General features: G+C 39.0%; 1 protein-coding gene across 6 annotated transcripts in view; it reads left to right on the top strand.

Moving 5' to 3' along the window:
* Nucleotides 1–18,015, top strand: part of TPTE2 (transmembrane phosphoinositide 3-phosphatase and tensin homolog 2) — a 138,698-nt gene that overhangs the window by 9,006 nt on the left and 111,677 nt on the right. For 4 of the 6 annotated variants that reach the window (NR_073487.2, NM_130785.4, NM_199254.3 and 1 more), the window contains exon 1: nt 15,806–15,973. The exons of the other annotated variants lie outside the window; for them this stretch is intronic. The gene's annotated coding sequence lies outside the window, so the exon portion shown is untranslated. Of the gene's footprint in view, nt 1–15,805; nt 15,974–18,015 lie in introns of those variants that run through there. 6 annotated transcript variants of the gene reach the window in all.

The following is an 18,015-nucleotide window of genomic DNA, read 5'->3' as shown; positions in this document are numbered from 1 at the left end:
AAGTGTTAATTTCAGGGGGTTATAAAATTTATTGACTGAAATTATTTCTGCCAGATATTCACTTTCAGAGTGTAGATACTTACATGAATTTCAAAACACTTTGTAGATATCTCCATGGTGTCCTAAAAGAAATCTGACAAGGTTTTTTTAAAAAGACTTTAGAATTTCACTTATTTTTAGATGCTTGATAAGGAAAATGAAGAAGTAAAACTAGATGGCAAAAAAGCATCATGAATTTCTATGACATAAAAGGACTGAGAACTGCAAATGATTGCAGTTTTCTAATCGCTCAACAGGTTATTACTTGGTGAATTTTCTATATATTGAATAAGGGGTATGAGATTATACTTCAATTTTGGAGAACATTACAACTCTTAAAGTCTCACACTGGTGTCCTTTAGTCATAAAACCATTGCACTAATGAGGTGCAGGGAACTTTTATGAGCAACTCAAAGCAAAAACATAGTAGGCTTTGGAAATCTTTGCCTGCATAATATAGATGCTTTGAACTGGCAACAGAATATCATCTACTTCACTGGGTAGTTTTTGGAGATGTTATCTCTTCCTAAATCAAAAGGAAAACAGTATTACTATGCTATTTATTTTTTGTGATATCCATATTGTCATCAGTTAAACATTTTAATTCAATTTATAGAAGTATTTTGAATTAGAAAAGATTGATTTACTTTTAGGGTAAGATTAGCTAGAAGTTGGAAGAGCCTGAATAAGTCTTAGGAAAATGTAGTCCATATTTTAACCTTTATAATGTTGTGGTATCATTGTAATATCTTAATTTTTGATAATCTTTTATTTGTTGGATTAATAGGTAGAACAGAAGCTTAAATATCAGAAATATTTAGTCTTATATGTAAATAATATAATTAATATAAAATGTTGCTTTTTATAGGAAAACTTTAGAGACTTACAGATTCTTTTAGCAAATTCTTAATATTTTGTATATTCATATTTTGTTTTTGTTTTTTGAGAGGGATTCTCTCTCTGTCTCTCAGGCTGGAGTGCAGTGGCATGATCTCGGCTCACTGCAACCTTTGCCTCCCGGGTTCAAGCAATTCTCAATCCCAAGCCGAGTAGCTGGGATCACAGGCGTGTGTCACCACACCCAGCTAATTTTTGTATTTTTAGTAGAGATGGGGTTTCGCAGTGTTGGCCAGGCTGGTCTCAAACTCCTGACCTCAGGTAATCCGTCCACCTTGGCCTCCCAAAGTGCTGGGATTACAGGCGTGAACCACCATACCCGGCCTGTATATTCATATTGTACCTGCAATAATACAGCATACTGTGTTTCATGTATTACATAACGTATGTATTGCTTAAAGGATGGTTCTGTGTTCTGGAAGGTATCAGGGTAAGGTAAAAAGACCAATGCCTTTTTAAGTTGTACCAACCTGGGTACCAGCTCTTTCCATTATTGGCCATTTGCCTTTGAGGAAATTATTTAAGCACCTGGGCCTTAGTTTCCTCTTCTGCAAAATATCTGATATTAAGGAAAGATTTGGTCTACTCTTACAACATGTTTGGATTTCATTATTTGAAGAAACTTGGATGTTCCAAGTCCTCATGGTTAAAAACTTGATTTGAAAACCCAGTATTAGGCTGGGCACAGTGGCTCATGCCTGTAATCGTAGTTACTTGGGAGGCTGAGGCAGGAGAATCACCTGAACCCAGGAGGCAGAGGTTGCAGCCAAAATTGCGCCACTGCACTCTAGCCAGGGCGACAGAGTGAAACTCTGACTCAAGAAAAAAATAAATAAATAAATAAAAAAGGAAGAAAGAAAAAGAACAGTATTGAGGTATAATAATGTGACTTTATTCAGGAGAGTCAGTGAAGCATAGTGGTTAGAAGTTCAAGATCCTGAGTGAGTTACAGAATTGATCTCTCCAAGCCTCACTTCCTTCATCTCTAAAATGATGGGAATAATAATAATAGTACTCATTATATGAGATTGGTGTGAGGAGTAAGTGAGGTTAACCAGTAAAGTATCATCACCATCATCATCCCTGTTTCTATAGCAACATTGTGAGGGAGTTTGTTTCTGTAACTGTTTTCCGTTGTATACAGTAACATTTTATTTTTCAAAATTTTACTTTATACTGGAACATTTTAAATCTTAGAATATTAACAAGGATAGTATGTATTATCTGGGAACCACCAAACAGGGTGCTAGGAAAGCACGAACTCGTGGTATATTGTCATCAGCAGTGAAACACTTAAGAGCATCAAAATTATGAGTGATCAAACTCCAACGGAATTTATCTTAAATTTGACCTGGTTTCTGAGAAAATTTAATTTCTAAATAGTTAAATTTTCACTTTTTAATTTATGTCTTCTTTTTAAAACTCTCATTTATTTGTGTCTCTAATTTTTGTTTTCCTCCTATTTTTTTTTTATTTCCAACTTTTAGGTTCAGGGGTACATGTGCAAGCTTGTTACATGGGTAACTTGAGTGTCATGGGGGTTTGGTGTACAGATAATTTTGTCACCCAGGTAATCAGCATAATACCTGTAGGTAGTTTCCCAATATTCATTCTCCTCCCACCCTCCCCCCTCGAATAGGCCCCAGTGCCTGTTGTTCCCTTCTTTGTGCCTATATGTACTTGGTGTTTAGCTCCCACTTATAAATGAGGAATGCAGTATTTGGTTTTCTGTTTCTGCATTAATTCACGTAGGATAATGGCCTCCAGCTCCATCCATGTTGCAGCAAAGGCCATGATCTCATTATCTTTGTAGCTGCATAGTATTCCATGGTGTATATGTCCCCCATTTTCCTTATCAAATCCACCATTCATGGGCAACTAGATTTATTCCATGTCTTTGTTATTGTGAATAGTGCTGCAATGAACATACATATGCATGTATCTTTATGATAGAATAATTTATATTCATTTGGGCATATACCCAGTAATGGAGTTGCTGGGTCGAATGGTAGTCCTGTTTTAAGTTCTTTGAGAAATCTCCAGACTGCTTTCCACAGTGGCTGAACTAATTTACATTTCCACCAACAGTGTATAAGCATTCCAATTCCTCTGCAACCTCACCAGCATCTGTTGTTTTCGATTTTTTAATAATAGTCATTCAGACTGGTGTGCAGTGGTATCTCATTGTGGTTTTGATTTGCATTTCCCGGATGATTCATGACATTGAGCATTTTTCATATGTTTGCAGACCATGTGTATGTCTTTTTTTGAGAATCGTCTGTTCATGTCCTTTGCCCATTTTTTAATAGGGTTGATTGTTTTTGCTTCTTCAGTTGTTTGAGTTATAGATTCTGGATATTAGACCTTTGTTGGTTGCATAGTTTGCAGATATTTTCTCTCATTCTGTAGGTTGTCTGTTTATTGAAATTTCTTTTTTTGTGCAGAAGCTCATTAGTTTTATTAGATCGCACTTGTCAATTTTTATTTTTATTACAGTTGCTTTTTTTTTTTTTGAGACAGAGTTTTTGCTCTTTTTGTGGAGGGGAGCACAGTGGGGCAATCTCAGCTCACTGCATCCTCTGCCTCCCAGGCTTAAGTGATTCTCCTGCCTCAGCCTCCCAAGTAGCTGGGATACAGGGGCCCGCCACCATGCCCAGCTAATTTTTTTGTATTTTTCATATAGACGGGGTTTTGCCATGTTGGCCAGGCTGGTCTTGAACTCCTGATCTCAGGTGATTTGCCTGCCTTGGCCTCCCAAAGTGCTGGGATTACAGGAGTAAGTCACCGCACCTGGCCTACAGTTGCTTTTTGACTTTGTCATGAAGTCCTTGCCTGGGCTGTTGTCTAGAATGGTATTTCCTAGATCTTCTTCAGGGTTTTTATAGTTTTAGGTTTCACATTTAAGCCTTTAATCCATCTTGAGTTGATTTTTGTATATGGTCAAAGGTGGGGGTCCAATTTCAGTCTTCTGCATATGGCTAGTCTAAGGCTATTTTTGATATGCTTTCCTAGAGTAACTCTCAATTTAGAGGCTTCAGTGGCGAAAGAAGGTCAGGATGGATGTTAATCACACTTTTGTTTGTATTCTTTAGTTGGTTTAAACCTTTTCAATTCTTACATATCCTCTATGGTATCTGGAATATATGCTATAATATGAGCCAAGAAGAACAGTGAGATAAGTTCAAATTACCATAAAACCCTAAAGAAGGGCTCTGTTATTTGGGCAAGTATAGTGTGGAGAAAATTAGGGGAAGTGTAAAGATTATTAGGTATGTGCTAACTGAAAGGTAACAGGATCTGTTTGTTGTTTTAGATGAGATTATGGCCTGGGAACAAGAGCCTTAAAGTACTGACAGAAAAATAAATAATAGTTTTGATAATACATAGAAGTGGAAACAACAATTCAAAGTGAAAATGACTGAATTTGGTTCAGTGCTCTACTATGCCCTTCTCAAAAAGAATTGGTCATTGCTACTAACTGCAATTCACCCTTTATTTGTTGTACCATATTTTAAAAGTATTCAATATTTAAAGCAGAATTAGACACAATTAACCTGTCACCTTATTTGATTGTGCATCATATAGAATTTCCTTCTTATGTTTAATGTTTCACTATCTCTTATGTTTTCTTTACTGTATTGTGCTTCTTTGGTTTATTAAACATATTTTAAATTATATAAATAATAACGAAAGTTTACTTGCAAAAAAGTCAAATGATATAAAAGAATATTATACTTTACCCCTCATTTCTCTTCTTTTTTTCTGAAATAACCGTTGTCGATAGTTTGATATGTGTTCTCTCAATCCACATTAAATGGCAGTTACACATTTATCCGCTGTTTTATTTGACTTGTATGGGACCATACTATACACATATTGTCCTGCAGTATGCATATATATATATATATATATGTATATTTATTACTTAGCAGTATGTCTTGAAAGCATTTCCTTGTCAGTACATAGAGATAGACCTTATTCATTTCATAGTTCTATATGTCCCATTGTTATGAACGCAGACCATAATTTCTTTTACCGTTTTCCTTTTGAATAATGGAGCTATAGTAGATCCTTTTACACATGTTCTTGTGTACATGTTTGAATACTTTCAATTCCTAGAAGGGTCAAAGAATAGGTGTATTTTAAATTGCCATAAGTACTTACAAATCCTCTTCTGAAATGATAGCCAGTTGACCCACTCCAACCGATTATGTAAAAATCCTATTTCTTCACAGTCTAACTAATACTGGATATTGTTAATCTTTCAATGTTCTGGATAAAAACTGATATCAATGGTGTTTTCTGATATCAATTGCCTGGCTAAGTTTTTACATTTTTATTAGGGATAGGATTTCTCTATGTTGCCCAGGCTGGTCTTGAACTCCTGGACTCAAGCAATCCACCCGCCTCAGCCTCCCAGAATGTTGGGATTACAGGCGTGGGCCACGTTCCCGGCTACCCCACTGTCTTATGTTGTTGAGAATGCTTTTGCCATATTTTCCATTCTTATCCTAGATTCATTGTATGTGATCTTTTTTTTTTTTTGGTAACTTTTAGCATCTTCTCTTCATAATATTAATAAGTTTCAGGAGGGCTATCCTTGGTAATGGATTTTATTTGTTTACAATCATTGTTCTAGGCATTATTAGGTAATTTTAAGTAACTTCATTTTTCGATTCTGGTTAAATTTTCTTGTTTTATTTGATAATTTCAGCCTCCCATTTTTTTTTCTTTTTCTCCTATTGTTCTATGCTCTGGGGACATTCCTTAACTATTATCTTACAACCTCTCCATTGGGTTTTTGTTTCTGATGCCATATTTTTAACTTCCACATGCTTTGTTGGGCTGGGTGTGGTGGCTCATGCCTGTAGTCCCAGCACTTTTGGAGGCTGAGGCGGGTGGATCACCTGAGGTCAGGAGCTCAAGACCAGCCTGGCCAACATGTTGAAACCCCATCTCTACTAAAAATACAAAAATTGGCCGGATGTGGTGGTGCATGCCTGTAATCCCAGCTAGCTGGGAGGCTGAGGCAGGATAATTGCTTGAACCCAGGAGGCAGAGGTTGCAGTGAGCTGAGATTGTGCTATTGCACTCCAGCCTGGGCAACGAGAGTGAAACTCCCTCTCAAAAAAAAAAAAAAAAAAAAAAAGAAAAAGAAAAAAAAACCCAAAAATCAAACTAACTAAATGCTTTGTTGTTGTTCTTCTTTTTAGTATTATATTTTTTTCCCAAAGTGTTGGGATTACAGGCGTGAGCTACTGTGCCTGGCCCAGTTCCACTCTCTTGAAGGCTCTGGGCTATAAATGTCACACATCACCTCTCTTTAGGTTCTGCTGGTGATAATTTAAACATATGCCCATGCCTAACCCAATAGGGGCTGGGAAATGTAATGTTGCTGAACAGCCGTGCACAGGTTTTTTTTTCTTTTCTTTTAAGAGGTGTGGTGTCACTCTGTCTTCCAGGCTGGAGTGCAGTGGTGTAATCACAGCTTACTGCAGCCTCAAACTCCTGGGCTCAAGTGATTGATCCTCCTGCCCCCAGCCTCCCAGGTACTAAGACTACAGGTGCATGCCACAACAGCTGGCTACTTTTTAAATGTTCTGTAGAGACGGGGTCTCACTTTGTTGGGGTCTCACTTTGTTGCTCAGGCTGGTCTTAAACTCCTGGCTTCAAACTATCCTCCTGCCTCAGCCTCCCAAAGTGCTGAGATAACAGACATGAGCCACCATCCCCTGCCCATGGACAGATTTTTAATTCATTTACCAAGATAAAAAGCAAGAGTAGATTTTGAGAGATAGGTATGAGTTCCTGCCAAGGAGTCTGTCACTTGTGTTAGACACTTTCTTAAAATATCTACTGTTCTTTGAATGTTTATTAATACTTGAGAGGAAAGCCATGAAAAGCTGTTTGTTAGATGCATGAATGGACGGGACTAGTTAACCACTGGCTTCATTTGAGAGGAATTGGGAAGAAATCTCTTCATGTAGGGACTTCTGTAACTCCTTATTTATAATTTTTCTCACTGAGTTTCTCCAATGAGAGCTCTTCCAGCCACCTGACTTGAGGCTATAGGCTTTGGCTGCGTGCTGAGAACTGGATGGGGGAAAAGGATTGGGGTGAGGGGGCTGTCTCACCATTCAGCATACAGACTTTCACTTTATTCTTCTCTTATAAATCCAACAACTTATTTCCTCTTTCCATTTTAATTTCTCCAAAAAGTAAACTGCCCATCTTCTTCAGGAATGGAGGAGGATACACATCTAGAGGTACATGTGGGAGATGGGACATGGGAGGTCTAACTGTTCCCTAAACTTATTTTCAATTAATCCTCCTGTTTTTTGTTCCTTATCCCCACTCATAACTTCAATGGTACCTGATTCCTCTCTTCTTAAGGCTTTTTGAAGCCTTTTTGTTTCTTGTCTTCCCCTTTTACAGAGAGTTTTAGTATCTTCTCCTCTGCTAAGTCAGTTACTACTCATTTGTGCACTTTTCATCTTTTACAGTTTTACTCCCATCTCTTGTCTGTTCTTTTTCTTTTCATCTTTGTGCTTTTGTACTTTTTCCTCTTTTCTGGCCAGTTGGTAGGTGTTACAAGGGAGCAGAGATTTAAGCATGGATTCAGTTTGCCACAGTTTAAGTCCTTGCTGCCTATCGTGTGTGTGTGTGTGTGTGTGTGTGTGTGTGTGTGTGTGTGTGTGAGTGTGCACGTGTGTGTTTTGCTTTTTGTTTTTGAGACAGAGTCTCACTCTATCACCTGGGCTGGACTGCAGTAGCACAATCACAGTTTACCACAGCCTTCAAGTCCAGGCTTAGATGATCCTGCCACCTCAGCCTATTAAGTATGATAGCTGGGGTGACAGGCGCATGCCACCATGCCCAATTAATTTTTTTGTATATTTGGTAGAGATGGGGTTTTGTCAGGTTGCCCAGGCTAGTCTTGAACTGCTGGGCTCAAGCAGTCTACCTGCCTTGGCCTCCCAAATTCCTGGAATTACAGGCATGAGCCACCGTGCCTGGCCTGGCTGCTTATCTTTTAATATGATAACTTAGAATGTTTAGAATGTTTTTAATGAATAGAGATTTAATTTGTACATAGCTCCATAGCCTTTTTCTATTTAATCTATCTAGAACTTATTTTTGTATATAGTATATCCTCTTTATTGCTCTCTTTTTTTCCTTTGCGTTATATGTGCCAGTACCACTTGGCTTCATTCATTCATTGATTCATTCAGGAAGGATCTATTCATTCTGACCTCCTGGAGCATTCTAAGTTAAAAAGACTGTTGATCTACGTTATCTTATATTCATATAGCCAATTATACTTTTGAAAAAAATATAATGTTACTAAGATAACATTAACCATCCTTTTTACTTTCAATCTACCTATGTTGTGTTTAAGGTGAATTTCTTATGAACAGCATATAGTTGGTTCATGTTTTTATATCCACTGTGCCAGTCTCTGTCTTTTAATTGGTATACTCAGATTATTTACATTTAAAGTATTATTTTCTATTCATTTTCTCTACTTCTCATTTCTCTCTTTTCTTGGCTTTTTTTTTTTTTTTTTTTTTTGAGACAGGTTCTCACTCTTCGCCCAGGCTGGAGTGCAGTGGTGTGATCACAGCTCATTATAGCCTCGATCTCCCAGGTTCAGGTGATCCTCCCACCTCAGCCTTTCAAGTAGCCGGGACTACGGGCATTGCCATCACACCTAGCTAAATTTTGTATATTTTGTAGAGACAGGGTTTCGCCATATTGCCCAGTCTGGTCTTGAACTCCTGGGCTCAAGCAATCCTCCTGTCTCAGCCTCCCAAAGTGCTGGGATTATAGGTGTGAGCCATGGCGCCTGGCCTCTTGGCTTCTTGTCAGCTGCCTGAACGTTTTTCACAATTCCATCTTGTTTCATTTATATGTTTAAAAATATAATTTGTATAGTATTCTTGATGGTTGCGATTATTTATGAAAATATTCATTAGTGGCCAGGCGTGGTGGCTTATGCCTGTAATCCCAGCACTTTGGGAGGCTGAGGGGGGTGGATCACCTGAGGTCAGGAGTTCGAGACCAGCCTGACCAACATGGTGAAACCCCGTCTCTACTAAAAATACAAAAATTAGCCGGAGGGCTGGCAGGTGCTTGTAGTCCCAGCTACACGGGGGCCTGAGGCAGGAGATCACTTGAACCCGGGTGCAGAGGTTGCAGTGAGCCTAGATGGCCCATCGCACTCTAGCCTAGAAGACAAGAGTGAAACTCTCTCTCTTAAGAAAAAAAAAAAAACAGAGAGGCTGGGTGTGGTGGCTCATGCCTGTAATCCCAGCACTTTGGGAGGCTGAGGCAGGCAGATCACCTGAGGTCAGGAGTTCGAGACCAGCCTGGCCAATGTGGTGAAACCTTGTCTCTACTAAAAATTACAAAAATTAGCCTGGTGTGGTGGCACACTCCTGTAGTCCCAGCTACTTGGGAAGTGGGACGATCGCTGGAGCCCAGAAGATGGAGGTTGCAGTGAGCTGAGATCACGCCACTGCACTCCAGCCTGGGTGACAGAGCAAGACTCTGTCTTAATTAAAAAAAAAAAAGAAAAAGAAATAAAGACTGAGAATCAATGAAGTAAGTTTATAATCCTAAGATACGAGAAAAGCAACAATTTTTTTTTTTTTGAGACAGAGTCTTGCCCAGGCTAGAGTACACTGGCACATAGCTCACTGCTGCCTTGACCTCCTGGGCTCAAGTGATTCTCCCACCGCAGCCTTCCATGTAGCTGGGACCATAGGCTCACACCACCATGCCTAGCTAATGTTTTTATTTGTAGAGACAGGGTCTCACCGTGTTGCCCAGGCTGGTCTTGAACTCCTGGGCTCAAGCTATTCTCCTGCTCAGACCCCCAAAGTGTTGGGATTACAGGCATGAGCCACCATGCCTGGCCTACATGAAATATATGCTTATTTGGTTTTGATTTTTACACTTTTATGAAGCCAAGATGAACCCCCATTACCCCCCAAAAAGGAACATCCTACTAGCTTCACATTAGAAATGGAATATTTACACAATATAAACAGAGAAAACTGAGATGGGGTGATTAGGAGATTTAATAAGTCAGAGTAAATCTTAAAGGGAAATACAATGAAATGTCTAAGGTAAAGGCAGAAATTAATAGAAATAGTATAATAGGATCCATAAAGTCAAACACTAATTCATTTAAAAAAACTAATAAATTTCTGTCCAGATTTATTTTTTAAAAAAGCTAAGTTTTAAAAAGGACCACAGTATGGCTGTCACCTTGATTACAGCCTTGTGAGACCCTGAGCAGGAGACTCTCAGAAACTGTGAGAGTTGCTCACGTCTGTAATCCCAGTGACTTGGGAGGGAAATGGAAGGATTGCCTAAGCCCAGGAATTGGAGGCTGCAGTGAGCTATGATCGTGCCACTGTACTCCATCCTGAGTGACAGAGCAAGACCTGTATCTAAAAAAAATATTTAAAATGTGAATAACTATTGATGTTGTAAAGATTAAGAGATTTATTTTTAAAGAAGCTATTATGAACAATTTCATGGCAACAAATTTGAAAATTTCATGGGCAAATTACTCAAAACTATGTTATCAAAATAATTTTAAGGAAAAACTGAATAATCATTAAAGAAATTTGATTGGTATTTTAAAATCTTCCCAGAAAACAAACCCTAAACTCAGAGAAGTTTTCATGAATGTTCTACTGAACATTCAGGAAAAAAATAATTCCAATCTTATATAAATTATTCCAAAACAGAAAAAGAGGAAGCACTCCCCAATTAATCTCAATCATGGAGACAAATTTGAAAAATCCAAAGCAAGATAGTAAAGCAAATTCAGCAATGACTAGAAATCATTATCAAGTTGAGTTTGTTCCACAATGTCAGGGTAATTTAACAATGGAGGAAAAAGATCACACATTATCTCAAAAGATGCAGAAAAAAAAGTTTGGTAAACCTTGGCAGCCATTTATAATTTTTTAAAAAATAAATCTTAGAAAACTTGGAGTAGAAGAGAACTTTTTAAACCTGATAAGTGGCATTTACAAAAAGCCTACAGCAAATATCTTACTTTATGCTGAAGTACTAAATGATTTCCTTTAAGATTATAAATAAGAGCAGGATAATCACTATCATGATTTCAGCATTGTACTGGGGGCCTAGCCTATGCAGTATAGCAATAAAAAAAGTGATTAGGATTGGAAATCCACTCTATAGTAACCCCAAGTAAATCACAACCTCTCTTTGAGTGTGGATGAGACCTGAGACATGCTTACAACAACAGAATATGGCTAAGGTGATGGGGGTAGTCACTGCTTTGATTGGTTCATGTTATATGGCAAAAGTAATGGAATAGTTACTCTTGTGATTATGTTATGTTATAGAAGACTGCTTGTTAGCGGACTAGAGTGTGCTATCATGTTGTAAGAAGGCCTGTGAATGAGCCACCTGGCAAGAAACCTTGGGGACCACTAGGAGCTGATGGAAACTCCCAGCTGACAGCCAGAACAAGGCAGGGACCTCCATCCCACAGCTTCAGATAACTGAATCCTGCCAACAACCACCTGAGCTTAGAAGAGGACACTAAGTTTTAAAAAGGACCACAGTCTGGCTGTCACCTTGATTACAGCCTTGTGAGACCCTGAGCAGGAGACTCTCAGAAACTGTGAGAAAATAAGTGCATGTTTTAAGCCACTAAGTGTGAGGTTATTCATTATGCACCAGTAGACAGCTAATAAAGGAAGAAAGAAACAAACCTGTTATTAGAGACTAGATTACATAGAAAACAAAAGAATCTATGGTTAAATCATAAGAATTAACAGAATTTATTTGGCACTTTTGCAGTTGCATTTCTATATGCTAGCAACAAACATGTAAAAATATAATTTATAAAAAACATTTACAGTAGCATCAAAAATATAAATAAATAAAATCTTAATAAAATATATGCAAGAAGATTTTGAGTAAGATGTTTTAAAACTTTAATGAAACACAGATTAGTAATAAAAATAATAAAGAGATATGGGCTGGGTGCAGTGGCTCATGACTGTAATCCCAGCACTTTGGAAAGCTGAAGCCAACAGATCACCTGAGGTCAAGAGTTCGAGACCAGACTGGCCAACATGGCGAAACCCCATCTCTACTAAAAATACAAAAGTTAGTTGGGTGTGGTGGCACACGCCTGTAGTCACAGCTACTTGAGAGGCTGGGGTGGGAGGATCGCTTGAACCTGGGAGGTTGAGGTTGCAATGAGCTGAGATTACGCCGCCACTGCACTGCAGCCTGGGTGACAGAGCTAGACTTTGTCTTAAAAAAAACCATAATAATAATAATAATAATAATAATAATGAGATTTAATTGGGTAGATAAGTTCTAGAATAAAGAGACTCAATATCATGAAGATGTTAATTCTTTCCACATTAATCTCTAGATTTAATGCAGTTTCATACAAAATTCCAATAGGATTTATTTTATTTTATTTTTTGAGATGGTGTTTTGCTCTTGCTGCTCAGGCTGTAGTGCAATGGCACAAGCTCAGCTCACTGCAACCTCCACCTCCTGGGTTCAAGTGATTCTCCTGCCTCAGCCTCCCGAGTAGCTGGGATTACAGGTACTCGCCCCCACACCTGGCTAATTTTGCACTTTTAGTAGAGGTAGGGTTTCAGCCTGTTGGTCCGACTGGTCTTGAACTCCTGACCTCAGGTGATTCACCCACTTTGGCTTCCCAAACTGCTGGGATTACAGGCGTGAGCCACCATGCCTGGCCCCAATGGGATTTGTTATGGAACTTCATAAATGTATTGTAAAATCATCATAGGGAGAAACAAAGAACCAAGAAGAGCCAAAATACTCTTGAAAAAGAGGACAAGGTGAGGGAGTTGCCCTAATTTGGAAGCTATTAAGATTTATTATAAAGCTATAATAATTAGACATGATACACACAGATAGTTAAATGGACTGGTGGAACAGAATAGAGAACACAGAAATAGAATATTAGTATATGGAAATTTGACACGTGATAAAATCAGTGCTATGGTTTTGTATTAGTCCATTTTCATACTGCTATGAAGAAATACCCAAGACTGGGTAATTTATAAAGAAAAAGAGGTTTAATGGACTCACAGTTCCACATGGCTGGGGAGGCCTCACAATCAGAAAGCGAAGGAGAAGCAAAGGCACATCTTACACAGTGGCAGGCAAGAGAGCGTGTGCAGGGGAACTGCCCTTTATAAAACCATCAGATCTCATAAGACTTACTCACTATCACAAGAATAGCATGGGAAAAACCCACCCCCATGATTCAGTTACCTCCCATCAGGTCCCTCCCACTTCATGTGGGGATTATGGGAGCTACAATTCAAGGTGAGATTTGGATGGGGACACAGCCAAACCATATCAAGTTTGAATGTCCCCTCCAAAACTCATGTTGACCCTTAATCCCCAATGTGGCAGTATTGAGAGGTGGGGCCTTTAAGAGTTGATTGGATCATGAGGGCTCTGCCCTCAATGGATTAATCCACACATGGATTAATGGATTAATGGGCTATCATGGGAGGGCACTGGTGGCTTTATAAGAGGGAGAATCTAGCATAGCACCTGAGCATGCTCAGCCACTTCAGAACTCTGTAGAGTCCCCACCAGCAAGAAGTCTCTCACCAGACATGGCCCCTTGACCTTGACATCTCAGCTTCCATAACTAAGAAATACATTCATTTCTTTATAAATTCTCTGCTTCATACCATACATACAAAAAATCCAATTCTGTCGGATTTATGATTTAAATGACAAACAAGATTTAAAATGTTTGAAGCAGGCTGGGTGCATTGGCTCATACCTGTAATCCAAGCACTTTGGGAGGTCGAGGTGGGCGGATCACTTGAGGTCAGGAGTTCAAGACCAGCTTAGCCAACATGGTGAAACCCTGTCTCCACTAAAAATACAAAAAATTTGCCAGGTGTGGTAATCCCAGTTATTCGGGAGGCTGAGGCAGGAGAATCACTTGAACCTGGGAGGTGGAGGTTGCAGTGAGCCAAGATCGCGCCACTGCACTCCATCCTGGGCAACAGAGGGAGACTCCATCTCAAAAAATAAAGAAAAAAGAAAAAAAAAGGCTGGGCGTGGTGGCTCATACCTGTAATCTCAGCACTTTGGGAGGCGCAGGCAGGCACATCACGAGGTCAGGAGACTGAGACCATCCTGGCTAACACGGTGAAACCCTGTCTCTACTAAAAATACAACAAATTAGCCGGGGGTGGTGGCGGGCGCCTGTAGTCCCAGCTACTCAGGAGGCTGAGGCAGGAGAATGGCGTGAACCCGGGAGGCGGAGCTTGCAGTGAGCCGAGCTGGCGCCACTGCACTCCAGCCTGGGTGACAGAGTGAGACTCCGTCTCAAAAAGAAAAAAAAAAGTTTGAAGCAAAATACAGGAGAATATCTTTATGGCTCTGGTGTAGGCAAGGATTTAAGATATCAAAAGCATAATCTCTGAATAAATTTGACTATGTTAAAATTTAGAACTTCTTTTAAGCAAAAAGGCAAAACCAAGAGTGAAAAGATAAGCATCAAACTTGGAGAAATATTCACATATAATCACTAAATGGTTAGTATTCAGAAAATATAAAGAACTTCTGTAGCCAAAAGTACCATTTATGAATCTACTTATTGATGGATGTTTTCTGAACTTCTTTTGCCCAGAGGAAAAATAGTGCATTAAAAAGCTTCTGTCCGGCCGGGTATGGTGGCTCACACCTGTAATCCCAGCACTTTGGGAGGCTGAGATAGGTGGATCACCTGAGGTCAGGAGTTTGAGACCAGCCTGGCCAACATGGTGAAACCCCATCTCTACTAAAAATATTAAAAACCTAGCTGGGCATGGTCGTGGGCACCTGTAATCCCAGCTACTCAGGAGGCTGAGGCAGGAGAATTGCTTGAACCCAGGAGACAGAGGTTGCAGTGAGCCAACACAGTACCACTGCACTCCAGCCTTGGCGACAGAGTGAGACTCTGGCTCAAAAAAAAAACAAAAAACAAAAAAACACTTCTGTCCCAAACAAACAAACAAACAAACAAACAAACTTCTAAAAATCAAATAGAAGGTGGCCTGGGCACAGTGGCTCACGCCTGTAATCCCAGCACTTTGGGAGGCTGAAGTGGGCAGATCACCTGAGGTCAGAAGTTTGAGACCAGCCTGGCTAACAAGGTGAAACCCTGTCTCTACTAAAAATAAAAATTTAGCTGGGCATGGTGGCAGGTGCCTGTAATCCCAGCTACTTGGGAGGCTGAGGCAGGAGAATAGCTTGAACCTGGCAAGTGGAGGTTGCAGTGAGCCAAGATCGCGCCACTGCACTCCAGCCTGGGTGACAAGAGCAAAACTCCATCTCAAAAAAAAAAAAAAAAATCAAGTAGAAGACAACCCCCCAAAATAGTGGGCAAATGCCATAGCATTTCATACATTTCATAGAAGAAAAAATATAAGTGGCTAATAAAGATATAAAATAATGCTCAGGGAAATGCAAATTAAAACCATATTGAGGTAGCATTTGTACCCCTTAGATGCATAACCCTTAGAAGGCCAAAAAATCAAAAGTTAGCTGGTATTACTTTCACACTGTTGGTGGCACTGTAAATTGGCAACCCCTTTTTGGAATTACATAATTATATTTATAATATATGTTCTATATAATTATATAACATTTATTTCATATTCATATTAAACAAGTATATTCATGAATATATAAATAATTGTGTATATGTATTGTATATATTTATATATGTAATTACATAATTTATGAAAATCAATCCTGTTCCTGGAGAACATACCCCCCCAAAAAAACCTCTTGCAGATAAGGACTGGGAAGCAAGTACAGAAATGATCGAAGCAGTACAAATCAGGGGAGAACGTGCCCAAGACCTGGAGAACTGATAATAAATTGTGGTTTATCCTTGCAATGGAACACTATATGGAAGTGAAAATGATTGAAATAGAGCTATACACATCATCACAGACAAATTTCAGAAACAACGCTGAGTGAAAAAGTAAGTTGCAGCAGAATACATGCAATATAATAGTATTTTATAAAATTCAAAAGCCAAATTTTGAATATACTTTCTTAGCTATAAATGTGATAAAACTATAAAGAAAAGCACAGGAATGATCAACATAACACGGTGATTGAGGAGGGACACACAGGGGCTTCGACAGTACTGTCTCTGTTCCTCAAGTTGGATGGCAGGTTCACAGGTGGTCATTTCCTCATGCTTTCATGTTATACTCATTATATGATGACTATATTATAATTATAGTATATGTTATGCATATTATACATTATATTATACATATTTTGTATGTAACAGTGTTTCATAATATTTTAAGGAATGAGTGGAAATGAGCACATAATGTAGACATGCAGTGCCTCGTCATTAGTAGAGTCTCAGAATTATCAGATTCCAAGATAATTCCTACACAAAAACAAGCAAACAAAGAGCATGTTATCTAGAATGAAAAGACCATCCATATTCTAATAAACTGAGACAATCAAATAGGGAATCCCTCTTTTAAGGTTGGCATTCGTTATATGCTTGGAAGTGATTTGAAGCAGAAATTAGTTGTGAATAAATCTTCTCCTTATTAATAAAACAGAAGCTTGTTTTTGATGTCATATTATCCCTGCCAAGAAATTAAAAATCCTGGAGGTAGGCTGGGCATGGTGGCTCACACCTGTAATCCCAGCACTTTGGGAGGCCAAGGCAGGCAGATCACTTGAGGCCAGGAGTTCGAGACCAACCTGGCCAACATAGTGAAACCTCATCTCTACTAAAAATACAAAAAATAGCTGGGCATGATGGCAGGCACCTGTATGTAGTCCCAGCTACTTGGGAGGCTGAGGCAGGAGAATCACTTGAACCTGGTAGGTGGAAGTTGCAGTGAGCTGAGGTCACACCATTGCACTCCAGCCTGGTGACAGAGTGAGACTCCGTCTCAAAATAAATAAATAAATAAATAAATAAATAAATAAATAAGAAAATCCTGGAGATAGTATTACTTAGAACCTCAGTCACTTATTAATCAATCTAAATTTAATCCTTGATTTTATAATATCTTTCTATAGAGTTTTGTTTTGGTTTTGCTTTGTTTTTAGAAAAGGCAGGTGCATTTACCCTCTTAGGGGATGACCATTGGTGTTTTAAAAAATAAGACATTTGCTGAGAATTCCTTAAATTTTTCTAATTTTCACTAGCCAGTGATGACATTGTCCCTTTTTGTAGATAGCTTTGGAAGATGATGATACCTCCACAGTTGGGACCATGTTGTTAAAAACATCCTTCGTTTGACTATTTATACATTTGGTTCTAAAGAAGGTGTTATCCTTAGATTCTTGGATCTAAAGAATATATATATATATATATTTTTTTGTTTGTTTGTTTTTTTGAGAAGGAATCTCACTCTGTCACCCAGGCTAGAGTGCAGTTTGTGATCTCAGCTCACTGCAACCTCCGCCTCCTGGGTTCCAGTGATTCTCCTGCCTCAGCCTCCTGAGTAGCTGGGACTGCATGTGCCCGCCACCACGCCTGGCTAATTTCTGTATTTTTGGTAGAGATGGGGCTTCACGATGTTGGCCAGGCTGGTCTCGAACTCCTGACCTCAAGTGATAACACCCGTCTCGGCCTCCCGAAGTTCTGAGATTGCAGGCATGAGCCACCGTGCCCAGCAAGAGTATATTATCTTAAGATTCTTGCCTCGTTACTACTCTTAAAATTGCTCCAAAACTTGCTTAAGTAGTCAGCTTTAAATTATGTAAATATAGACAACAAAACTCTTAATCCTAAAGGTGCTTTTAAAATTCATGCATTTATACATGGCATGCAAATTGGCTACAAATTGGGAAGATTTTATTCTAAGTAACCAAATCTTAAGGAGCTAAAGCAATCCTGCTTTATAAAATACATTAATTCAAGGACTAAGCAATTCCTGAAAACAGACTGATTTACTGTGCTTCTTAATATTTCCTCAAACTAGTATATGAGTGATGGTGGTAGAGGGAGGAAGTAGCTCATACTTGGAGGAACAAACAGTTGCT

The sequence above is a fragment of the Homo sapiens genome, chromosome 13 (assembly GCF_000001405.40).
Source record: "Homo sapiens chromosome 13, GRCh38.p14 Primary Assembly".
NCBI lineage: Eukaryota > Metazoa > Chordata > Mammalia > Primates > Hominidae > Homo > Homo sapiens.
This window is presented reverse-complemented; position numbering and strand designations above follow the sequence as displayed.